We start from the raw sequence: 18,483 nt of genomic DNA on the forward strand, positions 1-18,483 counted from the left end.
ATTTTCCTGCTTACTCAGATTGTTGCACTGAGGGCAATGTAGTAGTTAAAGGCACATATTCTGGTACCAGACTTCTTTGGTTCAAATCCCAGCTCCTCCAATGACTAGTTGTGATGCTGGGGAAATTACCACCCTTTGTCTGTTTCCTCACAGGTAAATGGGGATTATAGTGTCTATATCTAATAGGATTGTTACAAAGATTAAGTGAATTAATAGAAAGATGATACCTGGCATATGATAATTCTGCTCTTCATTATTATGTAAACTCAAAAAGTTTCTTCAAACCCCCAACCCCTTACTGTGCTTAGAACACAAGAAACAATGTTCTTTGAATGATATAAGTAATAATTTCCCACAACTTTTACCACTCAAGACAGAACCTATGTCTGGCCTATACAACTAGACTTTCTCAGATACTTCGAGGAGAATCAAGATCCGATCCTCGTGGCAAAACAAACAAACAAAACGAACAAGTCCTTCATGAGTGGACATCAATTTTGGTCATGCTGATCTTTTGGAGAGCATAGAGGATTCACCTGCTAAAACAGAGAATGCTATTTTCTCTGTCAAAAGATAACAAATAACAACATACTACTTTATTACCTGCATTGCCCCCAACAAGAGATTTTTGTAGCAATACATTAAGGTAGCAATAATAATTTTTAAAATCTTAAAATAATCAGTGGCCTACAAGGTTACTAAAAAGTGATTGAGAATATAGGAAAATACATTAAATGACCATTTCACATTTATTTTGAAAGCTATTCAGACATGAGACGGTTTTAAAAAGTGTTAGCATTAATGTTTTATTGTCACGCAGATGGCAACTGGGTTTATGTCTTCATATTTTATATTTTTGTAAATTAAAAAAATTACAAGTTTTAAATAGCCAATGGCTGGTTATATTTTCAGAAAACATGATTAGACTAATTCATTAATGGTGGCTTCAAGCTTTTCCTTATTGGCTCCAGAAAATTCACCCACCTGTTAAGAGAATATTGAATTGACATTAGACGTAGCACTGTAGCACTGTTTTATACATAAAATATGTATAAATATGTATTTATATATATACATATACATATGTATATATATACATATGTATAAATATGTATTCAGCATAGAATGAAGGAAGAATAGGGGTGGAGGGAAAAAGAAGTATAATCTTATTTAAAGTAAACTTCCCTGAATAACATACAGTTCATTTAAGTTATAAACAAAGAAAAAATATCAAGAGAAAAGTCAAAAGGCTCAAGTACAAATTTTCTTTTACACAATACTTAACAACAAATGAACTGCCCAAGTCTAAGAAATTCTATGTGCTTTATGATATAAATAGGACTAGTTCTAGGAAAGATTGATTTTCAGTTAGCTGTCACATTATGTACTTAAGCCAATGAATTTTGGCATATTTAAAAATTCTTAAAAGCAGAACTTGGTGATATGCCTCAATCTTTAAAGGGAACATCACTCCAGTGATTTATTCACTTATACTGGGTTTCCTATTGCCCAGTTAGAGTTTTAAAGGTCAGATGTACGTACCTTTTGTCCCTTCTTAAAAAACTGGAATGTTGGCATGCATTTGACTTCACACTCTGAAGCAACATCCTGGTAGGGAAAGTAGCAAAGGGAGAGGATTAAATACAAGACTGCGAGTACTGAGCTTTGACAGAAGTAATCCAAAACCAGAAACTTTTCCCTGTCATGTACCCCACATTTCCGCATGAGGACATTTTTCAGCATATGAAAATTAATATAATGAATATAATGGCATTACAAAAGCCAAACCGGTTATATTCTCAATGAAGAAGTTTTATTAATATTTACTTCCTTTGACGGGCACATTAACAGGCAGAATGTTCAGAATGTTACTAGCATCAGATACTCCAGCGATCCAATATGCTCTTTAATCCAATCAAATTTTCAACTATTTTAAGTATCATACAAAGAAGCAACAAAAAATTCTGCTACAATTGGACTCAGTATGATAATCTTAACTATTCCTCAGAACTAGTACCTCTTATTTCTTGCTCATAATTTTTCCAGTTTTATTATGAAGGCAGAGTACACAGAATGATTATATAAAGGCTAAAAAGTCTAAAAAAATAAAAATCAATTGTTCAAGAACAAAATAATAGTAATCTAAAGGAATAACCCCACACTGGGTTTACTGATTATTATTATTTTTGAGACAGGGTCTGGCTGTGTCACCCAGGCTGGATGGAATGCAGGGGCATAGTCTCAGCTCACTGCAATCTCCACTTCCCAGACTCAAGCCATCCTCCCTCCTCAGCCTCCCCAGTAGCTGGGACTACAGGCACACGCCACCACACCTGGCTAATTTTGTGTGTGTGTGTGTATATATATACACACACACACACACTATATATATATATATATATATATATATATATATATATTTTTTTTTTTTTTTTTTTATAGGGACAAGGTCTCTCCATGTTGCCCAGGCTGGTCTCAAACTCATGAGCTCAAGTGATCCACCTTCCTCGGGCTCCCAAAGTGCTAGGATTACAGGTGTGAGCCACCACACTCAGCCTCCTGCTTATTTTTAATTAAAAACTGATTTGTGAGGCCAAGGCCGGTGGGTCACCTGAGGTCAGGAGTTCGAGACTAGCCTGGCTAACACGGAGAAACCCCATCTCTACTAAAAATACAAAAATTAGCCAGGTGTGGTGGCACACATCTGTCATCCCAGCTACTCAGGAGGTTGAGACAGGACAATTGCTTGAACCTGGGAGGCGGAGGTTGCAGTGAGCTGAGATCATGCCACTGTATTCCAGCCTGGGCGACAGAATGAGACTATCTCGGGAGGAAAAATAAAAAGACTTTGTGAATTCTCAAACCTTGCTGCAGTATCAGAATTACCTGAGGGGTACTACAAGTTTCCCCATCAACCCCATCTTAAACCATTACAGTTAAAGTCGGGCTTCAGGTGACTCTGATGCTCTAACCTTTGAAAGCCATCCTACTAAGAAAATCGACAAATTCCTAACATCGCAAATTGGGCTAGTTGATCCGTATTTTCTCCTCTCCTAGAAGTGGCTGTTACCACAGCTAAAGATTTTTCTACAGCTCAAAGGTAATTGAAGTAACACACATTCCTCAACTGTGGAATGCTAAATGAGAACTCTTATAATACCCCATGCTCAACACATTGTTCATGCTATAAGAGGGCAAGGTTTGGAGGACAATACCACGAAACTGGTTTGGTTTGGAGCCCAATAGAGATTGAAAATGTCAGCCAGGCACTCAAAAGAGGACTGGGAAAGAAATATAGAACCACTCAGCACCTAAGCAGCAAAAGCTACACAGGACAGCAAGCGAGCAGGCAGGACTGTTGATAACCAAATCACGGAAACCAACGGAGAATTCTCAAGGGGAAGAAAGGCCAGCTACAAACACTATGACGACCTCTAGGATGGTGGGTGGCACTACTGTTGAGGAGTTCTTTCTAGGTAATCTTTACTTTTTCTTTTAATGCTGGACACCTGCTGAGCATGAAAGTACAGGTTCCAGTAAGAGGCACAAGGACAGTAATGGCTGGAATAAAAATGGTGAATGTTTATTGAATGCATACTATTGAAAACTCACTCCAAGTAAGGGTCAGAGGGAGGTTACCATTTATAAAATAAGTATCATAACCCTGTTGGCTGTCAGAGAAATAAGGTTGGTCTATCATTTTCAAAAGGGCTACTACTCATACTTTTCTATCAATCTATGGAGGCAAAGTTAAAGTTCCTCAGTTTGTCAGAGGGTCACTTCAAGGTTTTAAAAGACACTTTCAGGCCAGGCACGGTAGCTCATGCCTCTAATCCCAGCACTTTGGGAGGCCAAGACGGGTGGATCACTTGAGGTGAGGAGTTCGAGACCAGCCTGGCCAACATGGCAAAATGCTGTCTCTACTAAAAAGTTGAAATTTAGCCTGGTGTGGTAGCGGCTGCCTGTAGTCCCAGCTACTCAGGAGGCTGAGGCAGAAGAATCGCTTGAACCCGGGAGGTGGAGGTTGCAGTGAGCAGAGATGGTACCACTGCACTCCAGCCTGGGTGACAGAGTGAGACTCTGTCTCAAAAAAAAAAAAAAAAAAGATACATTCAGGGTGATCAGGGTGCACCAAGCAGACATGAAGGAGGAGCTCTGTCATACGGAAGTCCTCGAGTGCTTTGCACACCTATAGTAATGCACCATATAACATTTAGATCGACAACAGATTGCATATATGTGGTGGTCCCATAAGATTATAATGAAGTTGAAAAATTCCTCTCACCTAGTGATGGGTTAATGTCATAGCCCATCGCATTAGCTGGTGCAAACAAATCTGCGCTGCAATTACATACAAAGTATACCACTACAGACTGCTTTACCTGCGGAATAGCCATTCTTTTGTTCCTTTACTTTCTTAATAAACTTGCTTTCACTTAAAAAAGCATATCACTACAATTATGGACAGTATATACTACTTGATAATAAACACCCACGTTACTGGTTTTTGTATTTACTTTAATTTCATTATTAATTTAGAGTGTACTCCTACTTATTTTTTTAAAAAGACAGTTACTATACAACAGGCTCAGGCAGGCCCTTCAGGAAGCATTCCAGGAGAAGGCACTGTTATCATAGGAGATGAAAGGTCCATGCATGTTACTGTCCCTGAAGACCTTTCTGTGAGACAAGATGTGGGGATGGGAGACAGTGATACTGATGATCCTGACCCTGTGTTGGTCTAGGCTAATGTATGTGTTTGAATCTTAGTTTGTAACAAAAAGTTTAAAAAGTCTTTTTAAAAAAAGCTTATAGACTAAGGATATAAAGAAAATATTTTTGTAGAGCTGTACAATGCATTCGTGTTTTAAGCTAAGTGTTATTACAAGAGTTAAAGAGTTAAAAAAATAAAAAAACTATAAAGTAAAAAAGTTACAATAAATTTATTGCTGAAAAAAGAAATTTTAAAAATAAAATTTGTAAGCATACAGTGTTTATAACGTCTACAGGTTCTAGGCCTTCACATTCACTCACCACCCACTCACTGACTCGCCCAGAGCACCTCTCAGTCCTGCAAGTCCCGTTTATGGCAAGTACCTTATAAAGGCATACCATTTTTTAATCTTTCATATCATGTTTTCACCATACCTTTTCTATGTTTAGATACACAAATACTTACTGTTGTGTTATAACTGCCTACAGTATTCAGTACAGTAACATGCCTTACCTGTTTGTGGCCTAGGAGCAACAGGCTTTACCACATAGCCTAGGTGTACAGGAGGCTATGCCATCTAGGTTGTGTAAGTACACTCTATGTGTGCACAACAAAATTGCCTAACATTTCTCAGAAAGTATCCTCATCATTAAGTGATGCATGACTGTACTTCCTAAAGGCAGTAAGAAGACCTGTCCTCAGTACAGTATGGTGCATTGGTCTGCCTCAAGAGACTGACTTTACCTTCTGTGCTGCAGTGCCATTACCTGTTCAATGAGGGTGCTAATAAAAAATACTCGTATAGTTATCGTGAGGATTAAATGACATAGTGCATGCAAAGGGCTTATCATGGCATCTGGCACCTATTATTGCTTTCAAATAAAAATCAAGGCCGGGCGTGGTGGATAATCCCAGCACTTTGGGAGGCCGAGGTGGGTGGATCACCTGAAGTCAGGAGTTCGAGACCAGCCTGACCAACATGGTGAAACCCCGTCTCTACTGGGGTTTTAATTTTGTAAAAATACAAAATTAGCCAGGCATGGTGGTGCATGCCTGTAATCCCAGCTACCCAGGAGGCTGAGACAGAGGATTGCTTAAACCCGGGAGGCAGAGGTTGCAGTGAGCCGAGATCATGCCACTGCACTCCACCCCAGGTGACAGAGTGAACTCCATCTCAAAAAAAAAAAAAAAAAAAAAAAAAAAAAAAAAATCAAGTTGCTATCTGATAGGATCAGTGGCAGTTAGAATTTCTCTATTCCAGGTGCAATTTTCCCCTAGCTAAATTGACCTTAATAAGACTAAGTTTGATTAAAACAAGGGATAAGGATTTTTCACAAAAATGCAATTACACTCTTTTTAAAAAAAAAAAAACAACTCTGGGACACATCTAGAATAGTAACTTAACAACCATATCACATTCATCATTCATTCATTCCACACCTATACTACATGCAAGGCAGGTGTGCTAGGTGAAGGGGCAACCAACGTGAATTAAGACAGGGTCTCTGATCCTAGGAATCTACTGAGACTAATGGTAAAGGACAGACATAAAGATCATTATAATAATTGCCAAGATTCACTGGGTACTTAGGGCACACAAGGCGGTAAGTGGAGAAGGGGTGAAGCTCATGACAAGGAGTTAGTCAGGTAGGAAAGGAAAGGACAGGCCAGATGGAGAAGACAGCACAAGCCAAGGCAGGGGTTGCCCAAGGCACAGAGTCAAAAACTGGCTAAGAATACACAATCTGGGGTTGTTGCGCCCTCCCATGTTTAGAGAGCACTGCCATATGCCTGTTTTAAGTGACCCTTCACCCTTTATTGGATATTCCATGTTTGCTCAATGAATAAGCAACCTTGGGAGGTTGATGGGGCAGGTCTTAAGGCTCAAGGAAGAGGAGTGACTGGCCTAAGCAGATGCTAGTGAGCCAGGACTGGAAGCCAGGTCCAGCGCCTCTGTTGCCACACTGCACCCTTCCCCCATCGCCTTTCCTTCTCCACTAGGGCTAAGTGAAAATGCTCACATATCTGTAAAGGGCCCCGAAGTGATACCTCCTCAACCCGCTCTCCTAGGTCTGTGGTCATGTGCTAAGCACCCGATCTACACCCACAAGACAGAGCATCCTCCGATGGGTAGTGCTTAAGGTCAAGGGCTGGGAAGCCAGACCACTTCATTTTAAATCCTAGTTCAGCCACATACTCACTGAAACTTCATGAACAACCTCTGTGTTTCAGTTTTCTCATCTATAAAATGGGGATGATAACAGCACTCAGGATTAAATGAACTGATACTTAAAAACCACCCAGAACAGTGCCTGGTATATACCTAGTGCAAAACAAGTATTTGTTAAATACAACCAACCCTGGAATTTCTTCCAAATTATTCTCTCAGGTACCTTGGTGTTTATTTGTTAAAACATTTGTGGTTTCTAATTGACTAAAATCAACCAAGACTAGAATAGGCTTGCAAATGCAGGTTCTCATGCTACTGCAAGTTCACAAAGAGCCCTACAAGCGGTCTCATAATTTGGTGACTCCATCAAGCCTATGGATGTAATGATCATAGCTAAATTCAATCTCCATTTATTGCACATCTCAGAGTGTAAAGTAGAATGTAGGGTTTTAGAAAGGTGGGTGGCCGATAAGATTCAGAAGTCTCACTCATTTATTTTTGTTTACTTTAGGATGTGATATACAGCTCCCGATAGCTAGGATTAAGCTCCTAACTTGCCTGCTCTTCTGAGATAGAACTTTTTAGATAGGATTACAGTTCTAGAATTATTTGACATATTTATGGAAAAAAGCACTGTGCAATTCAGAGAAAAAGGCCAATGTGAAAAGCTCAGCAGTATCTCATATTTCCAGCTACATACCTGACAGTCATCCACATCTACTTCAAGGAATATCACGTTGGAATACTTTTCAGAGAGGGACTGGAAAATTTAAAATGAAAAATCCAAAAAGATTTAGAACTAGGTAATGGCAATCAACATACCCAAGCTTCTTAAATGGAAACTTAATAAAAGTAGAGACTAATTAAAGATCCAAAAATTTAGATCTTTGGAGACATAGATCTAAGAGACATAAATTTTCTCTAAATCAAATTTTTCTTAGTATAAAACAGCTTGGCATATCAAATTCTGAGGCTGGGATTTCAAATAAGGCCCATGTTTCAATGTGGGGAAAAAAAGAACTATTTAAGACAAAATTAACTTCTAAAATTTGTTTTCAATGGGCTACATGTATCAAACCTAAATTATTTGTTATACTACTACTTTTAGACCAAAGATCCAGCCAAAGAAATCCCCCCACCGAAACCAAAATCCTTTAACTGTCTTTCTTTCCTACCACTGTGACCACCAACTCAAAAAACACAAATCTCTTACAAAGCAGACATTGTTTAATACTCACATGAAAGAAAGGCTTGATCATTTTGCAAGGCCCACACCACGTGGCTGAGAAGTCAACTACTACAAGTTTATCACCTGCAGCGTCCAAGGCTTCCTGAAAAGCAGTCTAACAGCAAAAGAAAAGCTTATATTAAATAAATAGTTAAATATTAAACCTTCAAAAGAAAGACTCGACACAATGACACAAAGCACATTCTGGAGGTCCTCCTTTCAGGACCTACTTTTTAGCCAAAAAAAAAAAAAAAAAAAAAAAAAAATCCCCAAACAAGCCAAATAAAACTCAGTTTGAAGAAATTCTATACATTGTTGGTAGTGTTACTTGATAAGATGAAACAAGATATGTGTAGAGTATACTGACATTCTCTTCATAACTATTTTATAAAATATTGTGAACTGGCTATTTTTTCTCTACACCAAACAAAAGGAAAATAAAAATAGACATTTGTATTAAAAATGTTTCCATGTCAAGGCTAGGTATATGGTAGACATTCATTAAACACTTATGGATTATGAAAGGGGTCACTTGAAGTCACAAAGGCATAGGATTTTGCAATTGAAACATCACAAGTTACTTAAAGATAAAAGTTGGCTGGGCATGGTGGCTCACACCTGTAATCTCAGCACTTTGGGAGGCCGAGGTGGGCGGATCACTAGGTCAGGAGTTCGAGACCAGCCTGGCCAATATGGTGAAATGCTGTCTCTACTAAAAATACAGAAACTAGCTGGGCGTGGTGGCATATGCCTGTAGTCCCAGCCACTCAGGAGGCTGAGGCAGGAGAATAGCTTGAACTCAGGAGGCGGAGGTTGCAGTGAGCCAAAATTGTGCCACTGCACTCCATCCTGGGCAATAGACGGAGACTCTGTCGCAAAAAAAAAAAAAAAAAAAAAAGCTATGACTTTTGATTAAACTCATTTGTCTATGGTGGACCATACGAAAATCTAAAATTTTTTGAAAAGTCAAGGAAACTCACCTTTCCCAAACCTCAACACTCAGACATCACCGTTGACATAAGCATAATGGGGTTTCCAGAGCTGAGATCACACGTTTACCAACCTTTGATTTTTGCCCTTTATTTTAAAACTATACCCTTGTCATTCATTAAATGAAAGTTTTCGTTCCTCATGAAGGAAATTTTTCATAGATATTATTTTTCATAAGGAATGCTTGTTAAATAAAATTCTCAGTAGAAATGATCAAGAAATCTCTTACCACTAACTTCCCTGAATTATTTACTATCTAGATACTGTAACCCTGGGAACCGAATATTCTAGTTACCAAGGACTCATTTTTGTTTTGTTTTGTTTTTGAGACGGAGTTTCACTTGTTGCCCAGGCTGGAGTGCAAAGGCCTGATCTCGGCTCACAGTAACCTTTGCCTCCGGGGTTCAAGTGATTCTCTTGCCTCAGCCTCCTGAGTAGCTGGGATTACAAGCCTCTGCCACCAGTCCCAGCTAATTTTTGTATTTTTAGTAGAGACAGAGTTTCGCCATGTTGACCAGGCTGGTCTTGAACTCCTGACCTGAAGTGATCCACCCGCCTTGGCCTCCCAAAACAAAGGACTCATTTTAACCACATTAGTACGTTAGTGCTGACCAAACCCAAAAACCAAACCAGAGCAATTAAGATAAATCAAAACATAAACATCTGTATCTGAAATCTAGGTTTTCTTCAAGGAAACAATGCTGGTCAAATAGGTTTAAAAAAAAATGAACATTCCCCGCCCCCCACCGCCACAAGAGGTCTCGTAAAGAAAGAAATCAAATAAATAAAAAACCATAAGATAAAAAACCAAATAAACAAAAAAAAACCCAACAAGAAAACACTAATATGACCTCATGTACTAATAGTTACTTCTCTAGATTTCTAATTTCTACCTCGTTTTTGGGAAAATAATTCACAAATGGTGTTCCTGAGAAAGGTAGGACAACACTTTCATAAATTTTTTAGTTATGCAAATCCCTGAACCCCACCTCTAGAGGTGGAGACATGGGGAGAGCTGCAGCAGGGTACATAGAAGTATAGCAATTGTTTTTCCAAATCATCACTTATTGTTCCAGATCAATTTCATTCAAAGCCTTCCCTAATGTGATTTTCAAGAAAGTTAAACCAGGCATCCTTTATTGCAAGATCCAGGTAAGACAGGAAAAAAGGTCAAGAAATGCCAATGTCTGGTTGAATAGACATTTTTGTTTTTTTAACATGATTAACCCTTATTAAAAACTTGAGATTACTTTCAAGAGGGAAGGTATTTCAAACATACTCAAGGCTTTTCCAAAACAGTTCTGAATCAAATTTAAGCACAAGTACCTAAAATTCTGAAAAGAGGCACGCAACAATAACTTTTAGCCTAACTGAACATGAGTTACACCCCACGTATGTGCAGGCTTCATGTACAAATTCTCTTCTGATACTTCTAAACGGGTATCAGCTTGAAAATTATTCAAGATTGTATTACTAAGAAGAAATCACAATTTCTAGCTCCCAGAAACTAACAGGATTAATAAATGTCTCCATCACTGACACCAATAATCTGGGGGAAGCAGAACAGTGTAGTTGGGGTAAATAGGAGCAAGAGTCTAAGATCTCGTTGCCTCAACATACCTACTCTGAGGGTAATAAGTGTGAGTGGTTTCTGAAGTACTTAGCCAAGTGCCTTGTAGATGGGAGTTCAATAAATGGTAGGTGTCATTTTTTTTAAAAGTGTTTATTTCTTCCTCATCACATTTACAGTCAATTATTCCATTCCTCTCTGAAATAGATCCCAGTTGGCCCTAAAGCACCAACAGAGTACCTCAGAAACAGAATTGTTCTGAATGGCAAATGGTGCAAATTTAGCCCATTAGGATGAAAATGTAACATGTATTCAACATTTACAAATAACAGGCTGGGCGTGGTGGTTCACGCCTGTAATCCTAGCACTTTGGGAGCCTGAGGTTGGTGGATCACCTGAAGTCAGGAGTTCGAGACAAACCTGACCAACATGGTGAAACCCCATCTCTACTAAAAATACAAAATTACTGGGCATTTTGGCAGCGCATGCCTGTAATCCCAGCTGTGCAGGAGGCTGAGGCAAGAGAATCGCTTGAACTCAGGAGGTGGAGGTTGCAGTGGGCCGAGATCGCGCCACTGTACTCCAGCCAGGGCAACAAGGGCAAAACTCCATCTCGAAAAACAAACTAACAGACAAATAACAATCAAATTAGTGTAACTTTCGATCAATGACTTTGGATTGTTATTTTGAGGATTAATTGATTATCAGGGCCTTTGGGCCCCAGGCTGTAGTGCTTTTTTTAAAGTTCCTGTCACCCTTGTACACCTTTGTCACTGGTAGAGGAGGAAGGTGCTCTGACATGCTCTGACAACTGGGAGGACTAAACTGTGTGCTCCAGAAATCCTAATCAACTTTGTTTGTAGTGTCTGGATTTTGGGACAACTAACATAGACCACTCAAAGGTCTTCTGGCTCAGTGGAGGGGGTTCTTAGCAGTTGGGTTATACTGAGGTTGCCAGACCCTGGAGAACAGAATCCCAGCCCCACTCCCTTCCCCAGGAATGGATTAATAATTTGTCACACAATAGGTGCTTGGAAAAAAAGTATATGAAAGACAATTCACTACTAAGGATCTTTTCAACACATGAGGGCTGCTAAAATGAGAATCCCACTAAGAAAAAACTGATTGAGAGGAAGATAAAAGATGACAGTGGCAATCAACATATGAGGAAAAAACACTGAGAGTCAATAATAATCAAAGGAACAAAAGGATCGGGGACACATTGCAGACACACTTCTGTTTCCGAAGCCCACCCGGCACCAAACAGGTCAGGGCACCCGAGGCGGGCGAGGACCCGCCCTCCTCTGCTTCCCGCAGGTAGGGAGGGGTAATCGCAGGGTAGGCGCTGGCGAGGGGTCTTCTACCGTTCGAGCAGTATCAATTTCCTCCACTCACTTTTCTGACGCTGCATTTAACAAATATTTCTGGAGTGGCTACATTGGACTAGACACTGCGCGTTAGGCTCTGGGTTTCCCAGTCTACAAGGTTTTAGGCTTGCAATAACTTTCAAACATGGGAAGGCTGTTTCGCCTTGGGCATTTTTAAGAGGACAAAACAACGATCGGGATACCGATAGGTCGGCGAGCAGGCAGCAGGGCGCGGCTGCTCCCAGGAGGAACCCTGGCTCCAGCAAAACCCACCGACTGAGGGTGAATCATGGACGGGCAGGGCAGCCGAGGCCCCCGGGCCCAACCTTGGGGACTCAGTCATTCCAAAGCCACTGCTGCCGGAAACGCGCCCTGCGCCACAGGAGTCCCGTGGGCGCGGCCCGGACCTCACTTCCTCGCGGTCACCTGGGGCCCTCGGGCCTCCTGGACAGACCTGCACGTGCCAGGGGGTCTCCAGCCGCAATCCGCCCCCTTAGTGCGGATACAGCACGCGTCACCTTTGGGGTCGGGCATGGGTGGAGGCAGGCGGGGGTCTCCGGCCTAGACCCGCTCCCAAAGGGAGATCACTACCCCCGCTGCGGGTGGATCACTTCACATACGGAAAGGCAGCGGCGGCCACCGACCCGTGCCTTCTGCAAGGGCCCTCCCTATCCTTGCCTGGGGCCTGAATCTGGATACAGATGGGGGGCCAAGGGCGGACCCCTTCCATTCCCTCATCTTCCTCCAGTCGGGGCTGCCCGGACGGGAGGGTGCAGGAGGCGCAGCGTGGGGACTCCTCACGCTGTCTGCGCTCTCACATCCCCCGGACGCTCCCCGCGTGCGTGCAATCCCCCGAGGAACAGGGTGCGAGAAACGCTGGGCACCGCCACTCCGCCCTCCAGGGGACCCTCGTCCTTCTCCTCCCTTCCTCCAGGGCAGGCTCCACCGCCTCGGGCGCGCCCAGGCCGCTGCTTCCCGCAGTCCCAGGCCGAGACGCCGCGTCCCTTTCCCCTGGCGATGCGGAGGGGCGGCCTCCGCACCTCCCGCCACCGCCTTCCCCACCTCCCGCCACCGCCTTCCCCAGTTACAGAGGCCGCGCGCGGCGCCGGCACCCTGGCCTTCCCCGGTAGCGCGTACCTTGCTCTCGATCTGCTTCACCATCTTGGCTGCTGGAGTCTGACGAGCGGCTGTAAGGACCGATGGAAATGGATCCAAAGCACCAAACAGAGCTTCAAGACTCGCTGCTTGCTCTCTCCCTTTATAAACTGGCACGCCCGGCGTGCGTGTGGCGGGGGCGCGCGCGCCCGGCCGGACCTCCGCGCCCGTCGCTGCGCCCCGGCCACGCCCCGCCCCTGGAGCCTGCGAGCCGGGATCGGGGCGGGGCTGGCGCAAGCGTGGGGCGGAGCTCCAGGGCTTCGGCTCCTGTAACCCCAAGCCCAGCTCGCACTCCAGCTGGAAGTGGGGATCAGCACTGCGCGTGACGGTGGGAGGCGGGGAGACGGACAGTCACCCCCAGAGACACAAGGTCCCTCCCGGGTCACCTGGGGATGCGTCCGCCGGGCCTGAATCGAACACGCCCACGCTCGAGATGGGGACCGCCCAGGCAGGGCTGGATTCCTCGAAAAGGGCCGCCACGCCCCGGCCCCCCCAGCCACGTGAACCCCACAAAGTGCTGAGTAACGGTGACCGGGAAGTATCTCGGTGTGTACGTCCTTGCCTCCTCTCCGGAATTTACCGTGACCGTTCTCTTCTCTGTAACCTCCTTCTGTTCTTTCATTTTCACTGCTGAGCCCGCTGCTCCAGCTTGACACAGCGGTTTAGTGCGGTAGAAACGACCGGGGGACTGGTTGGGCTCTTGACCATCAGACAGCTGCGTGTGAGATGGAAGTGCCACTGGGTTGAGCTCTGCAACTTAGTTACGCAGTTGTGACCCTGGAAAGGTCCTGACCTCCTGAAGTCTCAGTGTTTCCTTCTGTAGAACGGGAATCATGATGGTCTCAATCTCACGGTGGTGGTATTTTGAGGGTTAATAGTGCTTGCAAAGGACGGTGCTTGGCACATAGTAAACACTCCATAGATAGTTCTTACTGTTCGGTGTCTTGCAGGGACTGATTGGGCCTGGCCACCTTATACAGCATTTACAATGGCACAGCACGCACACTTGTGTGAGATTCTTCTAACAGAGGCAGACTCCTGGAACAGAAGTCGGAGTTTGCATTGATCCAGGAATGCCTGTTGCAGGTTATGTCTGGCAGGGCTGGGGATTGTGGAAGGTGGGTATGTTAGCTGGCCTTGTGGAGCCAGGAGGGCCTGTCAGCGGCTGGAAGTGGAGGTTGAAAAGCTGCTCACAGGAACGAGAGCTAGAAGGCTGGGAGGGAGAGTCCCAGGTCTGTGTTTTCAGAGCTGAGCTGTTCCCGATGAAGCTGCAACTAGGTGTGATTGCCTAGGGGTGGTGATACTGCTGCCTGGCTGCCCCCTGAAATCCCTGGCTTCCTTCTTTCACTCTTTCAGACAGAGGAAGGGAGGAAACCAGAGGTTTTGAATCTATTGTGCAAAGTTTCTAGGGGGCTGAGGAGCACGGAGCATGAATATGGATATAGGCAAGGGACACATTCTAAAGACAGCCCATAGGGAGGGAAGACAGACTGCCCTGAATGCAGCAATGTTCCCAAAGAGAGGGAGGTTATTGGGGCAGAGAGGAAGGAGCTGTATGGAGCACCCAGAGCAGAATCTATAACCTGCTTTTCTGCTGCTGGGTTTTCAGTTCAGCTGCATCCCAGCTTCCTGACTTTTATCTGTTTGTTGGTGAATTTGCATGGGTGATAACAACAAATCATTGAGTTCCAGGAAGGGGCAATGCAGGCCATCCTCAGCTGACTTCTCTCCAAAGACCTTCCAAATGTCCAGTGACTCAGTGAAGGAGGTACTCCCTCTCTCCCACCTCCACAGCACCAATGCAGAGTAGATGTGGAGGATGGTACAGTTATAAGGAACTGGGAGGCCAGTCTGGACTCTGCAATTTGACTCCGTTGTCCTCATCCCTACTCTACCACTTCATGACTGGGTAACTCTAGGCAAGTCTAAATAGCCTTTTTGTGCCTCAGTTTCCTTATGTGAGAAGTGGGCGTAATAATAGCTTGTGCTATTATAAGGGTTGAGTGAACTAAAATATATGTAAAATGCTTAGAACCGTGCCTGGTGTGTAGTGAATGCTACATGAACTATGATTATAGGCTATTAAATGAATGATGAGATCCATCTGGAATGATGGCAGAGCTAGGGTGGAAGGAGAGATTATAAAACAGGTGTCAGTCTTAAATGAATTAAGTAATGAAGACAGTAGTAATGAACAGTGAGCTCCGTAACATAAGCCTCAAAGGAAAAGGCCTTTTTTTTCCCTGCAAGGAAGAAAGAAAAGTGGGCTGCACCTGGTCCCAAGGAGCAGGTTCCCTGCATTTGTGGCAAGGAGGTGACGTTCTTTGAGGAGAGTGAGGTACAGGGGAATTATTTGGGACTGCCCAGAGAGGAAGCGTTCATTTGTGCAGAGAAATGTAGAGGCTCTGTGTGTTAGTCAGAATTTTCAGTTGCAAGGAGAAATTCTAGCTCAAACTGACGTAAAGCAAAAAGAGAATTAGTAACTCAGATTAGCAAGAACCCCAGGGGCCTAATGATGTCAAAGGGCACCATCTCTCTTAGTTTCATTCTCAAGTAGGCACTCTATGTAAGAGTGGAGTAGGCAGCTCCAGACTTAGGTTCTTACTAGTTTAGTATCTCTACAGGAAGAGTGTTCCTCTTCCTTGTTCTTATAAATGTCTGAGAGGCTGACCTTCACTTTCATGGTGGGGAAAGGGATTAGCCTTGCTTGAAGCTTTGCACTAAGAGTAGGGAAAATCCAGGGGGTTACCAGAAAAGGGGAGATTGCTGCCGGACCAGCAAAAATGATATTTTTATGTCACCCAGAAGGGCGGAAACATGTAACAAGGGTGATGGGCCTGCTTCAGGCCTGGGTCAGCTGAGTCCAGCCTCCACATGGGACTGGAGAACTGGGTCAGCTGTCTTTGTTTGGGTCTCAACTCGAATTTGAAGAAAATGTAATTGTAGGATTTCTGAAACAAGTTTTTCTCACATCCCACGTGTCTCTGAGTGGTTCTTGACCACCTAATTCATCATAGCCAAAGGTGCTCGATGATACTGCACATTCCTGGACCACACCCAGACAGACATACAGAATCAGTCTTTTGAGGTAAGGCTTTGTAATCTGCATTTTTAAAAAGCATCTCAGGTGATTGGGTACACTAAGATTTGATGAGCTTTGCCATGGGACCTTCAGAGGGAGGCCAGCATTAGTTAAGCTTCAAGACTGTGTCTAGCAAGAGAGTTGAGATGGGAACTCAAAAGAGAATGTGGTAAGTGACATAAAATCAGGAGCTCGAAGTACTACAGTAAAAAAAGTGGTAGAAGGAAAAGGAACAAATTAACCTGGGTGGGACAGTCATTAAATGCCAAGCCTAGAGTTGGGCGTGTCTTATCATTCCTCTCAATATCCCTTAGAAGATAGACATTATTTTTCCTATTTTACAGAGAAAGAAATTGAGATTCAAAGAGGTCACCTAGTCATATCCAATGTTCACTAATTCTTATACTCTGTCCATGAAGGGTGGGAAGTATCAGCACAGTTCTCAAGCCCATCTGCATATATTAAGTACTCCTCATTTCACCAGTGAAAAATATCTGACATCCCTTATGCTAATGTGCCGTATATTACAACACATCAAATCTTAACTATTTAGATTGTAAAAACTAATTTACGCATAACTATATCACACTTTAATTGCCAAGTATTTTAATGTAAATTTCAGATAATATAATAACCCCTGTGAGTAACCTACCCTGCACATCACTGCTCCTTATAGCCCTTAATTTGGTCCAGTGGTCACCCTTGCTGCCCGCTTGAGCCCTTTCACCATGTAGCATGGAATCATCTGGATTCAGCAAGCACCACTGTATTCCCAGATGTTTCTTTTTGCTTTAACCGAAAGTTTTGCCCATCTCAGTGTATATCATTGCATGACATACAATGCTCCATGTATGTCACAGCCAGGCGGTAAGGCAAGTGCTTCCCTTTGCTGCATCCAGATTCTTTCTCCTTCCAAAATCCCAGATTTTTAGAAAGAAAAAAAAAATTTTTTTTTGAAAGAAAAAGGAACTTGACCTTTACAGCATGCCATAAAATTACTTAGAATTTACCAAGGAACTCCTGGAAGAAGACATTAGAGATAATCTTTGCAACCTTGAGGTAGGCAAATATTTCTTAGGCAGAACACAGAAATCACTAGCTATAAATGAAAAAGTTAATAAATTTGGCTTCTCACAACACACATACACAAATATGTGAGGTGATGCATATGTTAATTAGCTTGATTTAGCCATTCTACATTGTATACCTATATCAAAATATGTTGTACACCATCAATGTATACAAGTTTCACTTGTCAATTAAAAAATAATTTTTTAAAAATGGGGGAAGCTAGCAGTCTTGCATCCCCTGTGAAGGGATGTATGTTCTAGTGGGTGGATTTTACTTGATATTAAGTATTGTTATAAGTAGTTAGATAGGCATGAGTGAGGCAGGAGAGGGCTCTCTACCCACCCACTAGGAATGTCAGGTGATGGTTGGACAATTATCACACCACCACTCTAAAAACGATAATGTGGCAGCCTAACCAGGGTGCCAGGGAGAGGCCATTTCCTGGTGATCCACAGCTGTTAACATTAAAGCGTTAAATGAATCCAGATGCCCGGGAGAAGAAACTGCCTGGGCATGTGCACTAAGAGACAAAATGGCAAAATAAGACATTCCAGGCAGGCTCTTCCAGAAAAAGGGAAGAAAGTCTCAGATAGGCATGCATATGACTTCCTAAACACGCTGTGTGTGCTCAATTCCCAAGGGTAAGGGGGCAGGCACTAGGCAGGCAGCCCACCCTGAGGGAAGAATCATGGGAAAGAGGTAAGCCTATAAAATCCTGAGATGAAGTCGAATTCTTCTGAGGAGGCAAGGACGAAGTTGCTGCAGATGTGTACAGATCGCCGCTAATAATTCAGGGTAACTTGGATCTCTTCCACTGGTAACAGAATCATCTCAAGAAAATAAAAATAAATAGAATAAATTATAAAAACTAAAAATCTCTGCTCTTTGAAAACCATTGCTTAAAAATAAATGAAAATGAATAAATAAATTTCTCCCAGTCTGTGACTGGAAGAAAGTATGCTCAATACATACTTCTAACAAAGGACCTACATTCAGAATATATAGGGATCTGTTACAGCTCAATAATGGGAAGACAAATAAGCAGTAAAAACATGGCAATAGATTTGAACACATACTTCTTAAAAGAAGATATATATCAAGAGGCTGAGGCAGGAGAATCGCTTGAATGCAGGAGG

The 18,483-nt window shown here is 42.9% G+C and overlaps 1 protein-coding gene across 2 annotated transcripts, besides 6 other annotated features; it reads right to left on the reverse strand.

Moving 5' to 3' along the window:
- Positions 1 to 574: 574 nt before the first annotated feature.
- Positions 575 to 13,272, reverse strand: TXN (thioredoxin). 2 transcript variants are annotated; one of them, NM_003329.4, is made up of 5 exons: positions 13,177 to 13,272; positions 8,123 to 8,227; positions 7,585 to 7,644; positions 1,543 to 1,608; positions 575 to 984 (listed from the first exon to the last, which is right to left on the reverse strand). In NM_003329.4, the coding sequence occupies exons 1-5, from the start codon at positions 13,198 to 13,200 to the stop codon at positions 922 to 924; spliced, it is 318 nt and encodes a 105-aa protein (NP_003320.2). In that variant the 5' UTR covers positions 13,201 to 13,272; the 3' UTR covers positions 575 to 921. The 2 variants fall into 2 exon arrangements, with proteins under 2 accessions (NP_003320.2, NP_001231867.1); NM_001244938.2 differs by lacking the exon at positions 7,585 to 7,644.
- Positions 12,464 to 12,793: an enhancer, noted in NCBI's record as "active region_28784". NCBI's record gives its function as "activates an Ori minimal core promoter by ATAC-STARR-seq in GM12878 lymphoblastoid cells {active_cell/tissue: GM12878}" and the evidence as "EXISTENCE:reporter gene assay evidence [ECO:0000049][PMID:35858748]".
- Positions 12,864 to 13,113: a silencer, noted in NCBI's record as "silent region_20173". NCBI's record gives its function as "represses an Ori minimal core promoter by ATAC-STARR-seq in GM12878 lymphoblastoid cells {active_cell/tissue: GM12878}" and the evidence as "EXISTENCE:reporter gene assay evidence [ECO:0000049][PMID:35858748]".
- Positions 13,284 to 13,523: a silencer, noted in NCBI's record as "silent region_20174". NCBI's record gives its function as "represses an Ori minimal core promoter by ATAC-STARR-seq in GM12878 lymphoblastoid cells {active_cell/tissue: GM12878}" and the evidence as "EXISTENCE:reporter gene assay evidence [ECO:0000049][PMID:35858748]".
- Positions 13,536 to 14,735: an enhancer, noted in NCBI's record as "MED14-independent group 3 enhancer chr9:113019051-113020250 (GRCh37/hg19 assembly coordinates)". NCBI's record gives its function as "activates an origin of replication core promoter dependent on BRD2, BRD4, P300/CBP and CDK7 cofactors, and independent of MED14, by STARR-seq in HCT116 cells {active_cell/tissue: HCT116}" and the evidence as "EXISTENCE:reporter gene assay evidence [ECO:0000049][PMID:35650434]".
- Positions 13,664 to 13,863: an enhancer, noted in NCBI's record as "active region_28785". NCBI's record gives its function as "activates an Ori minimal core promoter by ATAC-STARR-seq in GM12878 lymphoblastoid cells {active_cell/tissue: GM12878}" and the evidence as "EXISTENCE:reporter gene assay evidence [ECO:0000049][PMID:35858748]".
- Positions 13,904 to 13,953: an enhancer, noted in NCBI's record as "active region_28786". NCBI's record gives its function as "activates an Ori minimal core promoter by ATAC-STARR-seq in GM12878 lymphoblastoid cells {active_cell/tissue: GM12878}" and the evidence as "EXISTENCE:reporter gene assay evidence [ECO:0000049][PMID:35858748]".

The sequence above is a fragment of the Homo sapiens genome, chromosome 9 (assembly GCF_000001405.40).
Source record: "Homo sapiens chromosome 9, GRCh38.p14 Primary Assembly".
Classification (NCBI taxonomy): domain Eukaryota; kingdom Metazoa; phylum Chordata; class Mammalia; order Primates; family Hominidae; genus Homo; species Homo sapiens.

Excerpts from the sequence above, each read along its gene's own strand:
- TXN (NM_003329.4), bottom strand. The coding sequence starts at position 13,200 with ATGGTGAAGCAGATCGAGAGCAAG. Across the intron at positions 8,228-13,176 it reads TGAAGCAGATCGAGAGCAAG|ACTGCTTTTCAGGAAGCCTT; the intron begins GTACGCGCTACC and ends TTTTGCTGTTAG. Across the intron at positions 1,609-7,584 it reads TAGATGTGGATGACTGTCAG|GATGTTGCTTCAGAGTGTGA; the intron begins GTATGTAGCTGG and ends TTTCCCTACCAG.